A 17640-nucleotide genomic window follows, 5' to 3' on the forward strand; every position below is an offset into this window, starting at 1 on the left:
CTTCTTCTCGCGGGGCGGCCCCCACCTCCTCCCACCCCCACCTCCTGGACCCCCTCCAGCAACTCTGGCTCCTCCCCTCCCCAGTGGGACCGGCCTCTGGGGCGGGATGCCCTCCCGCGCCCTCCCTCCCCATCCCACCCCCCTCCTTCCCCTCGATCCAGCCCTCATGACCCTGACCCTGGCCGCGGCTGCAGGCGGCTCGCCCAGGCGCGCAGCCCTCGGTCCCACCTCCCTCTGGCTCGGGCCTGAGCATTCCGCAGCCTCGGCCGGCCCGGGCCTCTTCTCCGCTGCTCTGCTCCCCCAAGGACTTTCTGTGCCCCACTCCTACCCAGGCAGGGCTGCCCTGTCTTGGGTCCTTTACGGGGGACCATTCCCCAGCGTCCCTGAGACACTCATCCTGGGATTTCTTCCCCTAAATACAGACATTCTCAAACCAAATGAGACCTCGAGGTCCCTACACCTGATCCTGCCTCCCACTCCCTGAGCCACACTGAGAAGGAAGGTCTCTCCTTTAGGGAGGACTCTGGCGCCTGCAACCTTGATCGACAGCAAAGATGTCCAGTGTGTATCCTGCATCTGCCTTTCCTGACCATTCCTCGTGCCCCATTCTCCGTGGGATAGATTCTCATGGGGAGTGGGGGAGCCTTCGGGTGTGGCAGAACGGCATGATGGAATTCATAAGGTGAGCAGAAACTCAAGGAAAACTGTCCAAATACCGGCTCGACTCCTGGGTACGCTGGAGCAAGGATGAAGAAGCTCTGAGACTTTGCACGTCAGTAACCACCAACACCATGCCTCTGGTTCCCACACCGCAGGGATCACCTGAAGTAGAGGATCTCATGTAACTTCATGGCTCTCTCTGAACTTCTGTTTCTTTATCTGTAAGATGGGGATCAGAAACTCTGTCTTAAGGAGTTGTTTTGAGGATTAAATGAAGAAACATGAAAAGCAACTGATGTCCAGTGCCGAGCACAAGGCTTTTGTCCCCTACTTACGCACCCCTAACCAGGATTCTCCACTTAGAGCTGAGAATTTCCTTTACAGTGTGCTCTGGGGGCACCAGAAAGAAACTCGGCTTCCATTAACCACTTCCAGGTGTCTGAAATCCCACCACTACTTAGGGTACTTCACTCCCCAGCTGTGAGCTACTCAGCCGCCCTTAAGCAGAAAGAGATGGGATCCGTGTTCCCTGAAAGCTTTAGATGGGGTTAGAGAGAAAAGATGCACCCAAAGATGTTTCCCAGCCCAAGAACTTGAAGGAAACCAAAATATTTCACCCCAAAAAATACTTCTTTGACACATTTCAAGGTGGCTGTTCAGAATGGTTGGAAATAGAATAACCAAAAAGCTGTCTTTTTGTGGAGAGATTTGCATCTGTAGAGGAAATCTGCATTGATGTAGCCAGGCTTTCTCCGAGGCTCTCCCTTGTCTAACTCTAGGAAAGATTAACTGAGAGGCTGACACCTTTACAGATCTGAAAGAAACATTTACCCTCAGTTCTTTCTGAGGGCTGCTACCTGTGAGGTGTCATCTACCTAACAAGACTCCCTTTGCCAACCAGGCCTCCTCTTCCCTCCCTTCCATAACCTGTCTTGCCACTATCTGAGCCCCCATATTTGTATAAACTCAAGATGGTGGATAAGCTTCTGTATCCCACTGAGGGGTTGGGGTAATCACTTTGTGGTTCTCTCTCATGTATGTTAATAAATATTTCCTGTTAAAGCCGAGGCAGGAGGATTGCTTGAGCCCAGGAGTTCAAAGGTGCAGTGAGCTCTGATCATGAAACTGTACTTCAGCCTCTCTGGACAGAGCAAGACCTTGTCTCTAAAATATAAATGAATCAATTTATTCTATTAATCTGCCTTTCATCAGTTGATTTTTCAGCAAACCTTCAGAAGGCAAAGGGGAAGTTTTCCTTTGGCCCCCACAGACCCATGCTGGGGGACGTCCTGAGGATGGGTGAGGAGAGAAATCTTCCAGGACAAGGTAGGACTTGAGCTGAGCAAAGCGGGAAACTCATCCTGACTTTGGTGGGGGCTGGGGGGAAAGTTGCATCAGGTCTGTTGCAGGGGAGGTGAGGCAGTTGAGGTGGGGAGGTAGGTTGGGAGCAGGGTGGTGGGAGTTGGTGAGGAAGGAGCCAGTCTGGCTATACTTAAATGGCCACACAAAATTCACTTTGGGTGTAGGTATGTGAGGTGCACCCCAAAGAGGTGGACAGTCCTACTGCAGAGCACTCATAGGTGTGGATGTGTGAAAGGACTACTTAGGGCATATTCATGAGCTCAGCTCCAGGTAACATGTCCCAGTCCAGGGGAGCAACAACAGGACTTCACTATTTAATGATGGTTAATGATCTTCCTGGTCATGACAGCTAAAAAAGTAGACTCACGTATCCAGTTGTTCCAAGCTTAGTTTTCCAATAACTGAACTGAGTACCAAAAAACATTGTCCTTTAATATTTGCAACCACATTGACAAAAATAGTTTTTTTTAGAAGAAGTGATTTGACTTTGAAGTAAGAGCATATCAGTTGCAAAACTACACCTATTGAAGTTAAGTACATTTTCCAACTTGTGTCAATTCGGTACCATTAGCATAAATTCAAAAATGATATTGCATAAATTCAAAAGCCATTCTAAATTTATCAATATCAACTAAGAATTCTTCACATTTTTCTTGAAATTTTGCCAATTTACACAATGCTGTATATTACAATTAAAACCTCTGTATGTTGATTCTTGTGACAAAAGTATGTAGATTGTAATTATTTGTCAGTATTATGAAAATATTTAATTTGAAATGCTTATATTTATCTGGCTAGGTCACAAATGAGGTTTCATCTCCTTGGATATTCAAATTTAGCCCATTTATATGTAGTGTGGTATTGGTGAGAAAACACTGACTTTTTTATTTTTAATTATTGAATATTTGGGTTGAGAGTAGTGACTCATGCCTGTAATCCTAGCACTTTGGGAGTCCAAGGTGGGTGGATCACTGAACCCAGGAGTTCAAGACCAGCCTGGGCAATATAGAGAGAGGCTATCTTTACAAAAAAAAAAAAGTTTAATTAGCTGAGTGTGGTGGCAAAAGTCTGTAGTCCTGGCTACTCAGGAGGCTGGCGGGGGACGATCACTTGAGCCTGGGAAGTCAAGGTTGCAGTGAGCTATGATCATGCCACTACATGACCCTCCCACCTCAGCCTCCCAAAGTGTTGGGATTATAGGCTCAAGCCACCACTCTCAGACTTGGCCACAGAGCAAAACCTTGTCCCCAAAACAAATAATAATAATACTTATTGTTGTATATTTGGTAATCATGGCTTCTGTCTCAAGAAAATCTTGGAGTTAGTTAAAAGTACAGTAAATCTTAGGAGAACTCTTCTACAACCCTGACAATGAGCTTTGGTAAAGAAAAGATCATTAAATTCATTATCTTTCATTGCTTTCAACAGTTCCATAAAACCAGCAGTGATTCATAGCATTTCCACTTAAATACGGAATTAGTTTTAATGGCTGTAGCCATGAGACTTGCATAGAATAAATTTCAGAAAACTGAGCACAAATATCTTCAATATGTACCCTAAAGTGAAATGAAGCAACATTGGAAGCATCAATCTCTTGTTTTAGCATTCCAATAAATACCTCAGTCACACCAGCCACATGGCAAGTGTTCCTAAACCTGTGGCTGGTGGCTACCATATTGGATATTGCAGGCAGAGCATGTGTTACCAATTATGTGAGTAAAAACTAAAACTAAAAATGAACAAATTTTTGTGTTTGTAAATGCATGGAATATTTCTAGAAGGGAAAAACAAGAAACTTATAACAGTGTTTGCCTGTGAGGAGAGGATCTGTCCAGCTGGGGAAAACAGAGGCAGGAAAACTGTACTCCCTTTGTACTTTTAAATTTTTATAACTTGTGGATAATTTGTCTATTAAAATATAAAAAAACTTTAAAAACTATTTTTTGAGACAGGGTCTTGCTCTGTCGTTCAAGCTGGAGAGCAGTGGCTCAATCATGGCTCACTGCAGCCTCAACCTCCTGTGCTCAAGCGATCCTCCCACCTCAGCCTCCCAAGTAGCTTGGACCACAGGTGCATGCCATCATCCTAGGCTAATTTTTGTATTTTTTTCTAGAGACAGGATTTTGTCACATTGCCCAGGCTGATCTCAAACTTCTAGGTTCAGCAATCCACCCACCTTGGACTCTCAAAGTGCTGAAATTACAGGCTTGAGCCACTGTGCTTGGCCTTAATACTTTTAAAATCAGAAAGCAAAGCAACAGCTTTTCTTTTGTCTTCTTTTCTTTTCTCTTTTTTTGAGACAAAGTCTTATTCTGTTGCCCAGGCTGGAGTGCAATGGCATAATCAGAGCTCACTGCAGCCTCCATGTTCTAGGCTCTATTGATCTTCCTGCCTCAGCCTCCCAGTAGCTAGAACTACAGGACCACCTCACCCAGCTAGTTTTTATTATTATTATTTTTTTTTTCAGGAGAGAGGAGGTTTTGTTTTGTTGCCCAGGCTGGTCTTGAACTTCTGAGCTCAAGTGATCCTCCTACCTTACCTTTCCAAACTGCTGAGATTACAGGTGTGAGCCACCGCGCCTGGTCCCAATAGCATTTCTGAAAGCTTACTCTGGCTGCTGTGTGGAGAGTGGATAAAAGGGAATAAATCTCAGCAGGAGATAATTGTGATTGTCCGGGTGAGAGACGAATGTGGCAGGGACAAAACTGGAGGCAGTGAAGATGGGAAAACAAAGTCCAGAAATACCTCAGGACTAAAGCACCAGGGTTTGGTGATTGATAAGATGTTGGGGTCGAGGTCAACAGAGAGGGGTGAATCCCAGGTTTCTGGCTTGAACAGCTGTAGACATGGTTTTGATCCTCAGGGAGAGAGAGACTCAGGAGGGCAGTGAGGAGAGAAGTGTGAGGTGTCTGTGGAACATGCCAGTGGAGATGTTGACTGAACAGGGCTGGTGGAGCTCTGGCTACAGATGGGAAACTGTGTTATCTGCATGCAGATCGAGATCAGAGCAGAGATGAGACTGGGGATTGGAGAAGGAAGTAGCTTGCCCTGGCGGTAGGAGGGTGAGGAGGGAAGAGGTTAGGACCTCACTGGGAGGGGATCCAACATGGAGTAAGAGGGGTGGGTGGATGAAGATGAGCCGGTAGGAGCTCAGTGGCAGGTCAGGAGCATGTGGTGTCACAGAGGTGGGGAAGGGGATGTTGGGAGGAGGAGGCACGGCTGGCAGTGTGTGCCCAGAGGTTTAGGAAGATGATGCCAGAAAGCACTGGACCTAGCGAGGCCAGCGGTGACTTTAGCAAGAACTGTCTCAGTGTGGAGTGAGTGTAGAAGCACATGGAGGGCAGAGGGAAAGAAGGAATAAGGTAGAGCTGGTGGGTCCGGGGAGAAGCCAGGGCCAGGGAGGGTGCTGTGGTTTCAATGTGCTCCCCAGAAAACTTGTTTTGGAAACTCTTTTTTCCTTCCTTCCTTCCTTCCCTTCCTTTCCCTTTCCTTCCTTCCTTCCTTCCTTCCTTCCTTCCTTCCTTCCTTCCTTCCTTCCTTCCTTCCTTCCTTCCCTCCCTCCTTCCCTCCTCCCTCCCTCCCTCCCTCCTTTTTATTTTCTGGCAGAGTCTCGCTCTGTGGCCCAGGCTGAAGTGCAGTGGCGTGATCGCGGCTCACTGCAAACTCCGTCTCCCAGGTTCAAGTGATTCTCCTGCTTCAGCCTCTCTAGAAGCTGGGATTACAGGCACACGCCACCACACCCAGCTAATTTTGGTATTTTTAGTAGAGGTGGGGTTTCACCATGTTGGCCAGGCTGGTCTCAAACTCCTGGTCTCAAGCGATCTGCCTGCCTTGGCCTCCCAAAGTGCTGGGATTACAGGCATGAGCCGGTGTGCCCAGCCTATGTTTTGGAAACGTAATCCCCAGTGCAACAGTGTTGGGAGGTGGGGCCTAATGAGAGGTATTTAGAGCACGAGGGCTCCTGCTTATAAGAGGATTAATTCCATTATAAAGCTGTGGCTCATGCCTGTAATCCCAGCACTTTGGGAAGCCGAGGCAGGCAGATCTCTTGAGCCGAGGAGTTCAAGGCCAGCCTGGGCAACATGGTAAAACCCCATCTCTACAAAAAAAATACAAAAAAAAAAAAAAAATTAGCTGGGCATAGTGGTAGTCCCAGCTGCTTGGGGGGCTGAGGCAAGAGGATCCCTTGAACCTCAAGGAGGTTGAGGCTGTAGTGAATTGAGATCATGCCACTGCACTCCAGCCTGGGTGACAAAGTGAGACCCTGTCTCAAAAAATAAATAAATAAATAAATAAAATAAATAAAAAATAAAAGTGTTTGAGGCTGCAAGTTCAATCTCTCTCTCTGTCTTGCCCTCCTTTTGCCCTTACACCATGGGGTGATGCAGCAAGAAGGCCCTCACCAGATGTTGGACCTTCAGCCTTGGACTTCCCAACCTCCAGAACCAAGAGAAATAAACTCCTGCTCATTATAAATTACCCAGTCTCAGGTATTCTGTTGTGGCAACACAAATGGACTAAGACAGAGGTGTGTCGTACTGTGTCTTACTTAGAGAAGAGAGGAGTAATCAACAGGAAAGCAGACAGTAAGTGGGGCACTGCAGGGGAAAGCAGCAAACTGTAGGGTTGGATGCAGGCAGGCGTGTGCCACCCAGGGAGGTCTGGGGCAGGAGACTGGCGGTGAGGCCTGGGACTCTCCGCTTCAGAAGACTGACTGCTCATTCCTGTTCTTTGTTTTTCATTTTTCCCCCTTTCTTTTTGCAATCTGGAAAATGCCTTTCCTTTTGCTCATTTACCAAAGGTAAATTTCAGAACATAAAGAGGGATGCACAGCAAATTCTGTCCCATGGATTGTTCTGAAACTGACCATATGCTGCAGCTTCCATGTTTTGATGATGAGACTTAAGTCTGTTACCAGGAGCAAGCCCACAGCTTGTGTGCAGAAACCATGGCTACCATCTACCATCTTTCAGGATGGTCCTCAAAAGACTTTGAAAAGTGACATTTTCTGATGTGAAATCCTGAGGTTCCACTTTTAATCACAGCATGTGATTGTTATATATGTCATTAACTTGATTATTTAAAAAGATATTAATAATAAAACTAAAATTTACCAAAAAATCCTACAACTTGGCAATAAAAGCAGCAAAATACTTTTTTCAAATAATTATTGGATCAATAAGAAGAAATAAACATGATCATAAACAAGAAATAAAACATGTTGCAGAATTGTTAAAAATAACAATAATGTAGCCAGGCATGGTGGTGGGCACCTGTAATCTCAGCTACTTGGGAGGCTGAGGCAGAAGAATCACTTGAACCTGGAAGGCGGAGGTTGCAGTGAGCTGAGATCACACCACTGCACTCCAGCCTGGGGGACAGAGTGAAACTCTGTCTCAAACAAATAAACAAACAAACAAAGAAAATTAATGAAAACACTATATATTAGAACCCATGAGCTGTATTTTGAGAAGTACAATTAAATACCTTTCTTTTTACTAATGAAAGACAAAATGAAAGTAAGCTAATTGTTAACTAGTAAAACCACCAATGAAACTTATGGTAAGGAAAAGGAAAGAACAAATAAAACTAAAAATGTAAATTAGAAAAGAGGAAATTCAGGAAATCCATTAATATATCACATTAATCAGTCAAGGAGAGAAAACCCCATGTAATAATTGCCAAAGATGCTGAAAAAACCTTTGAGAAAATTTAATATCCTCTGCTAATTAAAAAATAAAAGCTCTTGATAAGATAGATTATGAGTACCTTCTTAACATGATTATATGTATGTATAACATACTTAATGATGAAAAATAAACATTCTCATCAAATTCAGGATCAAGAAAAGGATGTCTTCTATTGCTATTATCATTTTACATTTTTTAAGAAACACTAGCCAGTGTAATTGGGCAGACATGAAAAATCAATGATTAAAAATTTCTTTTGAAAAATGGTGAGAAAAAGGCCGGGCGCGGTGTCTCACGCCTGGAATCCCAGCACTTTGGGAGGCCGAGGCGGGTGGATCATGAGGTCAGGAGATCGAGACCATCCTGGCTAACATGGTGAAACCCCGTCTCTACTAAAAATACAAAAAATTAGCTGGGCGTGGTGGCGGGTGCCTGTAGTCCCAGCTACTTGGGAGGATGAGGCAGGAGAATGGCGTGAACCCAGGGGGCGGAGCTTGCAGTGAGCCAAGATCGTGCCGTTGCACTCCAGCCTGGGAGACAGAGCAAGACTCCGTCTCAAAAAAAAAAAAAAAGAAAAATAGTGAGAAAAGTATCCTTATTTGCAAATGGTAGGACTGTGTACCTTCCAAATCCAAGAGAACTAACAGGAATAAATTACTGGAAACAATAAAATAATAAGTGATAGGAAATGGGATTAATATACAAAATCAGTAGGTTTTCTAACATGAATATATTTGGAAAAAAAATATATGTATATATATATATATATATATATATATATATTTGAGACAAGGTCTCACTCTGTTGCCCAGGCAGGAATGCAGTGAGATGTGTTCATGGCTCACTGCAGCCTCAACCTCCCAGGCTCAGGTGATCCTCCCACCTCAGCCTCCCGGATAGCTGGGACTACAGGTGTGCACCACCACGCCCAACTAATTTTTTTTTTTTTTTTGTATTTTGTGCAGTGATGAAGTTTCACCATGTTGCCCAAGCTGGTCTCAAACTCCTGGGCTCAAATGATCTGCCTTCCCTGGCCTCCCAAAGTGTTGGGGTTGCAGGCGTGAGCCACTGTGCCTGGCTGAAAATATAGTTTTTTAAAACCCCATTTACAATAATAAAAAAAGGTTAAGTTCTTAGGAATGAACTTAGTAAAAAAATACAAAGACTATTTAAAAAAACTAACAACAACAAAAAGAATATTTAAAAACTTAACATAATATTAAGGTATATGAAAGAAACCTTGACTAAATAGATAGAATCAAATCATAAAATGTGGCCAGGTGCAGTGGCTCATACCTGTAATCCCAGCACTTTGGGAGGCTGAGACAGGAGAATTGCTTGAACCTGGCAGGCGCAGGTTGCAGTGAGCTGAGATCATGCCATTGCACTCCAGTCTGGGCAACAAGGCTGAAACTCTGTCTCAAAAGGCAAAAAAAAAAAAAAAAAAAAAAAATCATAAAAATGTAAATCATTCCTAAACTAATATATACATTTAACAAGAAAAGTGGATCGCCTGAGATGGGAAGTTGGAGACCAGCCTGACCAACATGGAGAAACCCTGTCTCTACTAAAAGTACAAAATTAGCCGGGTGTGGTGGCCCATACCTGTAATCCCAGCTATTTGGGAGGCTGAGACAGGAGAATTGCTTGAACCTGGAAGGTGGAGATTGCGATCAGCTGAGATCACGCCATTGCACTCCGGTCTGGGCAACAAGAGTGAAACTCTGTCTGAAAAGGAAAAAATAAAATAAATAAAAATGTAAATCATTCCTAAACTAATATTTAAATTTAACAAGGAAAGACAATTGATTCTAACATGTATATGGAAAAATAAACAAGCAAGAATAAACAGAAGTATGAAGATAAAAATAATGTTGACCTCTTAGATGTCCAGATAGCCTATTTGATGTTAAAATGCATTAATAATCTAAAATGAAAACAGTGACATTAGCAAATGAATAGACAAAAAAATGGAACAGAATAGAAACCTCAGACATAAATCCAAATACATATGGGAATTTAATATGTGATAAAGGTGGCATTTCAAATCTTTAGGAAAAAGATGCATTAGCCAATAAACGGTGTTGGAATATACGGCTAGCCTTGTGGAGGAAAATGATGAATGTTGGTTCCTGCCTCACTTTTTACACTATAATAAATTCCAGATGAATGAAATTAAATGTACCAGATGACAACTTGAGGATTTTATTCATTTGTTTGCTTAATAACTTCTTACTGGGGAAGTATAATACAAAACCCAATGCCATAAGAGAAAAGATTGATGAATTTGACTTCATGACTATCAAACGTTTCTCCATGATTAAAAAAAAAAAAATCAGCTTAGGCTGGGCATGGTGGCTCACACCTGTAATTACAGCACTTTTGGAGACAGGCGGGGGGATGGCTTGAAGCCCAGGAGTTAAGGCTGTTGTGTGCTATGACCGCCCCTGTGAATAGCTGCTGCACTCTAGTCTGGGCAACATAGCGAGACTCCATCTCTAAAAAATAAAAAAGAAAGAAAGATATAAAGCCACATATGCAATGTGCTATGTTTCAATTTGTGTAAAAAATAGGAATGTATGCACATGCTTGCACATCGCATTGAGTAATTCTGGAAAGATTTACAAGGAACTTGCAAGAACAGCAGACTCTAGCAAGGCTAACTGGAGGACTACAGGGAGGAGGAAACTTTCGTCCTTTTTTTCTCTTTTTAAAATAGACTTTATTTTTTACTGCTGTTTTAAGTTTACGAATAAACTGCACAAAGTACAGAGGGTTCCTCGTTCCCCCACTGCCCTCCCAGTTTCTCTTATTATTAACATTTTGCATTAGTTTGGTAAATTTGTTAAAATTGATGAACCAATATTGATAGATTATTATTACCTGAAGTACAGTTTACATTAGAGTTTGGTCCCTGTAGCACATTCCACAATGAGGTGTATCCACCATTACAGTATCATAGGAAATGATTTCACCCTCCTAAAAATCCTCTGTGCTCCACCTATTTATTCATCCCTCTCTGTCCCCAAAACCCTGGCAAACACTGGTCTTTTTACTGTTTCTGTAGGTTTTCCTTTACCAGAATGTCTTATCGTTGAAATTATTTTTTACTTCCTTTTGAAATGCTTGAGTTTTTTTGTTTGTTTTGGTTTGGTTTTTGAGACGGAGTCTCGCTCCGTCACCCAGGCTGGAGTGCCGTGGGGCGATCTCACTGCAAGCTCACTGCAAGCTCCGCCTCCCGGGTTCACGCCATTCCCCTTCCTCAGCCTCCTGAGTAGCTGGGACTACAGGCGCCCGCCACCATGCCTGGCTAATTTTTTTGTATCTTTTAGTAGAGACGGGGTTTCACCATGTTAGCCATGTGGTCTCGATCTCCTGACCTTGTGATCCGCCCGCCTCAGCCTCTCAAAGTGCTGGGATTACAGGCGTGAGCCACCGCGCCCGGCCGAGTTTTTTTGTTTTTTGTTTTTAACATGTGTGTATGTTAATTTAATAAAAATTAATTTTTATTTTCATCAAAGGAATACATGCTCACGTTTGCATGTCTGAAAATATCTTTATTCTACCTTATGTTTAAATTATAGCCTTTGTTGGGTGTGGGGGCTCACGCTTATAATCCCAGCATTTTGGGAGGCTGAGGCGAGTGGATCACTTAAGCTCAGCAGTTCAAGACCAGCCTGGCCAACATCATGAAACCCCGTCTCTACTAAAAATACAAAAATTAGCCAGGCATGGTGGCGCACACCTGTAATCCCAGATACTTGGGAGGCTGAGGCAGGAGACTCGCTTGAACCTGGGAGGCAGATGTTGCAGTGAGCTGAGATTGTGCCACACTTCACTCCAGCCTGGGTGACAGGGTGAAACTCCGTCTCGAAAAAAAAATACATACATACATATATATATATGTATCCTTCGTGGGTAAGATTCTAGGTTGAAAAATCATCTTCCCTTGGGATTTTGCCAGCTGTACTGTCTTCCAGCATCTGGGGCTTCTGGAGGGAAGTCAGGTGTTCTGATTCCTGGCCCTTTGATTGGAAGGGGCCTGTCTGTACATTGTCCCATGCTGTTCCTCATCTCAGCAACCGTGGGCTTCCTCAGTTTGCACTCTCCTGCTCCCTAGCTCCAGGATGTATTTCCATGTTATTTCATTGACAGTTTCTCAGTTAGCACTTTCATGTTCTCTAGCTGGAGGATATGTCTTTATGTTATTTCATTGACAATCTCCTTCTCTCCATTTTCTCTTTCTAGAATTCTTTTTTTTTTCTTTTTTGAGAGGGAGTCTTTCTCTGGTGCCCAGGCTGGAGTGCAGTGACGCGATCTTGGCTCACTGAAAGCTCCGCCTCGTGGGTTCAAGTGATTCTTGTGCCTCAGCCTCTCAAGTAGCTGGGATTACAGGCCTGCGCCACCATGCCTGGCTAATTTTTGTATTTTTAGTAGAGATGGGGTTTCACTGTGTTGGCCAGGCTGGTCTCGAACTCCTGACCTCAGGTGATCCACACGTCTCGGCCTCCCAAAGGGCTGGGATTACAGGCGTGAGCCACTGCGCCTGGCCTAGCTCTTTCCGTTTTAGGAGCTTATTCCTAGTTTTAAAATACCATCGTATAAATATAGGATTTCTTTTTTAAAGTTCCATTCATCTCCTTATTTCAGCTGTGGTTTTGGTCTCTCACGTTGGAATCATTCCTAAAAAGCCTGATTGAAAGCTTCATAGGAAGGTGGGGCCCTGTTAATTGGTGGGCTGTGTTGCAGGGTGATCATGCAGCGAGGCTGATTTTTTGTTTATTTAAATGATCCCAAATGTCAGTATTACCTGCATGTCCTTTCTCTGGGCCTGTACAGTCTTTCCAAAAAAGAATCCTCAGAGCTTTTGTCACCACCAGGCTGTTTGTGTTCTGGAGGCCAAGTGGGGTCAGGAGGCTGAGAGCCACCATTTAGCACAGAGACTTTGACTTTACCTCCCCCTATGACCCTTTCGCCCTTACCTGTTCCGTTCCTGCAGAGTACACTCTGGCCTCCTGCAGTGGTGGAGCATTTGAGGGGGCATTCTCCAGTGTCCCCAGCTTCATCCGTCTCTCCTGCACCTTGTGTCTCTTGGTTCAGAGCCTTTTCAGGGTTCAATCAATTCAATTCTCTTACCCCCTGCCGCACCCCACTGCAGGGACTCTGCTCTGCTCAGTCTGTTACCACCATTGCTTCCCCACCATCTTTCTCCTTGTGAATTTATATGTTTTTATTCCTTTGCTATTGTCTTAATGGGGTTTTAGGAGAGTTAAAAGAAAAACTCGGCCAGGCACCATGGCTCGCACTGCAATCCCAACACTGTGGGAGTCCGAGGCCGGAGACCACTCTGGGCGACATAGTGAGACCCCATCTCTACAAATAATTTTTCAGGCTGGGCACGGTGGCTCACACCTGTAATCCCAGCACTTTGGGAGGCCAAGGCGGGCGGATCACGAGGTCAGGAGTTCAAGACCAGCCTGGCCAACATGATGAAACCCTGTCTCTACTAAAAGTAAAAAAAAATTAGCCTGGTGTGGTGGCACGTGCCTCAGGAGGCTGAGGCAGGAGAATCGCTTGAACCCAAGGTGGAGGTTGCAGTGAGCCGAGACCGCACCAGTGCACTCCAGCCTGGGCGACAGAGCGAGACTCTGTCTCAAAACAAATTTTTTTTTTCAAAACTAGCTGAGCGTGGTGGCGCATGCTTGTAGTTGTAGCTACTCAGGAGGCTGAGGTGGGAGGATCACTTAAGGTCGGGAGATTGAGGCTGCAGTGAGCTGTGATTACACCACTGCACTTCAGCCTGGGCAGCAAAGCGAAACCCCATCTCAAAAAAAAAAAAAAAAAGAAAAAAAAAAGAAAAGAAAAGAAGGGAAGCCTTAGATAAATTAAATTTAACAGAGCTAACTGAGCAAAGAACAATTTGTGAATCCAGTGGCCCCTGAACCAGAAGAATAGGTTCAGAGAGACTGGAGCTGCCATGTGGCCAAAGAAGATTTATGGACAGAAAAAGGAAAGTGACAGAAAGAAAACAGAAGTGAGGCACAGAAGCAGCCAGATTGGTTGCAGCTTCGAGTTTGCCTCATGTGAACCTGGTTTGAACAGTTGGTTGCCTTTGATTGGCTGAAACTTGGTGTTTGGCACAAGAGTAGGTTATCGTTTGTTTACACATCCAGTTAGCTCACTGTTCACTAGGGAGGAGAAACCTTTAGGCCGAACTTAAAACACATAAGGAGGCAGCTTTGGGCTAAACTTAATGATTTTCCCTCTTTAGTCAACGTCTCAAAACTTTAGGCATCAATGTCACCCTGTCATCATCATAAATGTACTTATTTGGTCCCAAATCCTACTGGGAAATAGTAGAACAGTGGGTTTTCTAAGGTGGGTAAAGGTGAGAGTATAGGGGACCTCCTTGTGCTGGAATCTCCTGTTTACAATAGAAAAACAAAACCTGGTCTGTCTTAGGAACTATCTGCTTCCTTGAAGTTTCAGTTTGATTATGTCACATTTATCATGAATGACTCCATTTTGATGTGGTCTGTTGAGGCCTAGTGCACAAGCTGAGTCCACCATGGCAAATGCGACAGGAGTGGGTGGGGATAAACATATGTATCTAATCCACCATGTTTAACTAGAATCTATGAGTTACTTAGAAAGACAAATTACTACATTTATGTATATATATACATGCACACACACAATTTTTGGGGAGAGGACATAATTTAGCCCATAACTATATCCTTCCCAAATTCATATGTTCAAACCCAGCTATGGTCTGTGTCCTCTAAAGTTCATGTGTTGGAAATTTAATTTCCAATGCAACTGCGTTGGGAGTTAGGGCCTAATGGGAGGTGTTTAGGTCATAAGGACTCTGCCCTGATGAATGGATGAACACTGCTATAAACAGGGCTTGTGGCTCACACCTATAATCCCAGCACTTTGGGAGGCCAAGGCGGGAGTATTACTTGAAACCAGGAGTTCGAGACCAGTCTCAGCAACATAGTTAAGACCTCCATCTCTGAAAAAAAAAAAGCTTAGCTGGGCATAGTGGTGCATGCTACTTGGGAGGCTGAGGCAGGAGGATCCCAGCCCATGAGTTGGAGGCTACAGTGAGCTATGAGTGCACCACTGCAACCCAGCCTATGATTGCACCACTGTACCCCAGGGCAAGGCAAGTGAGACCCTGTCTCAAAAAAAAAAACAACAAAAACAAAACAACCAACAAAAAAACTACCACTAGATGGAGATGCCGAGCACAACCCATGTCCGTTGCTCTTTAAACTTAGGGGGTTCTATAGTTTTTCAAGTAACAATGCTGTGGAATTATTTTTCTTACCTACTTCCATCATCCCGTGTTGATTTGTGGTTTCATCCTCAGAACTTCTTGGCTGGTACTGAGTTATCAGGATTGATTCGCATTAGTGTCACTAAAGTTGGTATACAATCTTCCACTGCTAAATTTGACTGCCTTTAAAAAATATTAAAAAGTAAAAAGAACTTCTAATTTCATTCTAACCAGAAATCATGCCAATTTGTTGCACTGGTTTTATATGCCATGTGCCTATTTGTTAGAACCGTAAACCAGCTCAGGTCATAGAAAATGAGTGGAATCTTAGCCAGTGGAAGGCACTTAGGGTAGTTTAGATGCTGTGAAATTAAATGTTTTTCAAGTGTTCTTTTTAATATTAATTTCAATGTATTTTGAATATATCAATAATATATTGTATATTATCATATTACACATAATATAGTATATTTAATAATATACTAAGATTTAGTATATTAAAATTTAATTTAGTATATTATTTATAGAATGTAGTAATTTAATAGAACATTATGTAGTAAACATGTGACATTGTTTTAATTGCTAATAATTTCCAAAGATAAACCTTCTTAAATCCCGTTAAGAGGATATTCTCTTCTCCTGTTTTAAGAAAGTGAAGGCAACCCAGTTAGGAGGCATCTGGGACTTTCCTGGCCAACTCTGAAGACATCAAGTTGAACCATGACCCGGATTCGGTCTTGGAAGCAGATGAGAGGGTAAAGAGTTGAAGCCAGGTCTACACTCTGATTCCTCCAAGTCACCGAGTGGTTTCATGTGAAAGGGGTCTGGGCAGGAGTGAGCCGAGGTTAGCGGTGGTATTTCAGTGATTTGGCAAATGTGCACAGATGGCTCATAAACCGCCCCCCCACATGCCACCGACAGGAAACTACCACTTGACAACACGCCTGCTTCTGCCGCATCACAGACTTAGCAGAGTCTGTTCAGAATCTCCTTGCATTTCCAAATGAAGCTTGGATGTTAGCAGATGTTAAACCCAAGAACAGGTACACCTGGGCTCTAAATTCATCTTCTGACTGAAGTTGAAGATAAAACCTGATACCAGTTTGGAGTAGAAAGAGACACAGTATTGTAATCATAAATGACATTTGACCTTAAAACAGTAACACAGCAAATTTCTAATTAAAGTGGAGCATGTCCTGTCTTGACTGAGGCACCAAGACGATTTGTTGCAGATTGTTGCTGGCAGTGTGCAGTCCCCAAGACCAAATCACCAAGAGGCACAGTGGTAAGAGTGGTCAGCAAGGAGCGGAGCGCCTTCCTCCCACCAGCAGGTGACTCACCACATCGTGTCCTCCTTGGCGTAAGAGGCGCCCTAAAGGTTTCTCCGTTCCAGTTATCCTAACTGGAATACTGTTCCTGAAAAAAGCGTATATTTAAGGCCCTGCTAGCTATAAGCAATCCTTCAAGGAAGAGAATTATAAACAACCTTTCTTCCAAGTTTTTGTTCTTTGCCTCACTTATATGCCGATTTAAATCGTTCTCTAAGAAAAGGTGGTATTTCCTCTCACTGCAGGTTCTACCAGACTCTCATCACCTGCTTGCCAAGCAGCAGCCAAGGGAAAACAGTTTGAAATTTACTGCTAACAATTGGTTCACATACATACCGGGTACGGGGGACTCTTGCCTGTAGTCCCAGCTACTCAGGAGGCTGAGGCTGGAGGAATGCTTGAGTCCAGGAGTTCAAGTCCAGCCCAGGTAACATTGTGAGACGCTGTCTCTTAAAAAAAAAAAAAAAAAAAATTGGTTCACCCTGCTGTATAATGCATTGGCAATTCAGTGTGGTCTAATCAAATTAGCTTAACCATGGGATTGCGCTTAGATTTGCTCATTCATTTTAACCATAAACACTTACTGAATGTGTACCATGGGACAGACACCTTTCTAGAGACTGGCTATATTGTGGTGAAAATACACCATGGGACAGACACCTTTCTAGAGACTGGCTATATTGTGGTGAAAATACAGGCCAAATCCCTGCCTTCGTGTGGCTTCTATTGTGGTGGGAACTAGACAAAAACTGTCCAAGTGAATAAATGAATCAGTAATTTCAGGTAGGTGAGAATGCTATGAACAATATAGCTGAGTAGGGGCTAGAAGGTGATGGGGTAGGCGAAGGGGCTTCGTAGGCTCAAAAAAGGGCCCCAAAGAGCCCCAAAGATATCCAGGTCCTAATCTCTGGAACCTGTGAATTATGACCCTGCATGGCAAAAGGCACTTTGCACATGTGATTAAGCTAAGAATTTTGAGGTGTGGATATTACGGTGGGGAAATACAATTAAAAACAAAATGTCCTGTTGACCCAGAAAACCTCTCCACAAGAATAGAAGAGATATAAAGGCTTTATTCTTGAATAACCATTAAACCAGAGTGAGATGCACATTACAGGAAACCCACTAAGAGACGGCAAAGACAAAAAGAAACTTCACTCTTTTATACAGCCACCCACCACACACACACACGCAACCCACCACACACACAATCCACCATACACACATACCACACACACACCCCACCACACACAAACCCACCACACACACAACCCACCACACATACCACACACACAAATCCACCATACACACATACCAC

The 17640-nt window shown here is 43.7% G+C and overlaps 1 long non-coding RNA gene across 1 annotated transcript, besides 1 other annotated feature; it reads left to right on the top strand.

Annotated features, from left to right (window-relative positions):
* The first annotated feature begins 189 nt into the window (after positions 1 to 189).
* On the top strand, positions 190 to 16491 carry LOC107986858 (uncharacterized). The gene is made up of 3 exons (XR_001745420.3): positions 190 to 682; positions 1873 to 1986; positions 15644 to 16491. It is a non-coding gene; the product is annotated as an uncharacterized LOC107986858 (long non-coding RNA).
* Positions 5980 to 6212: a silencer, noted in NCBI's record as "fragment chr7:150044724-150044956 (GRCh37/hg19 assembly coordinates)". NCBI's record gives its function as "represses an EF-1alpha promoter that drives an FKBP-Casp9 reporter gene in an ReSE screen in K562 erythroleukemia cells {active_cell/tissue: K562}" and the evidence as "EXISTENCE:reporter gene assay evidence [ECO:0000049][PMID:32094911]".
* Positions 16492 to 17640: the final 1149 nt, after the last annotated feature.

The sequence above is a fragment of the Homo sapiens genome, chromosome 7 (assembly GCF_000001405.40).
Source record: "Homo sapiens chromosome 7, GRCh38.p14 Primary Assembly".
NCBI classification, from domain to species: Eukaryota; Metazoa; Chordata; class Mammalia; order Primates; family Hominidae; genus Homo; species Homo sapiens.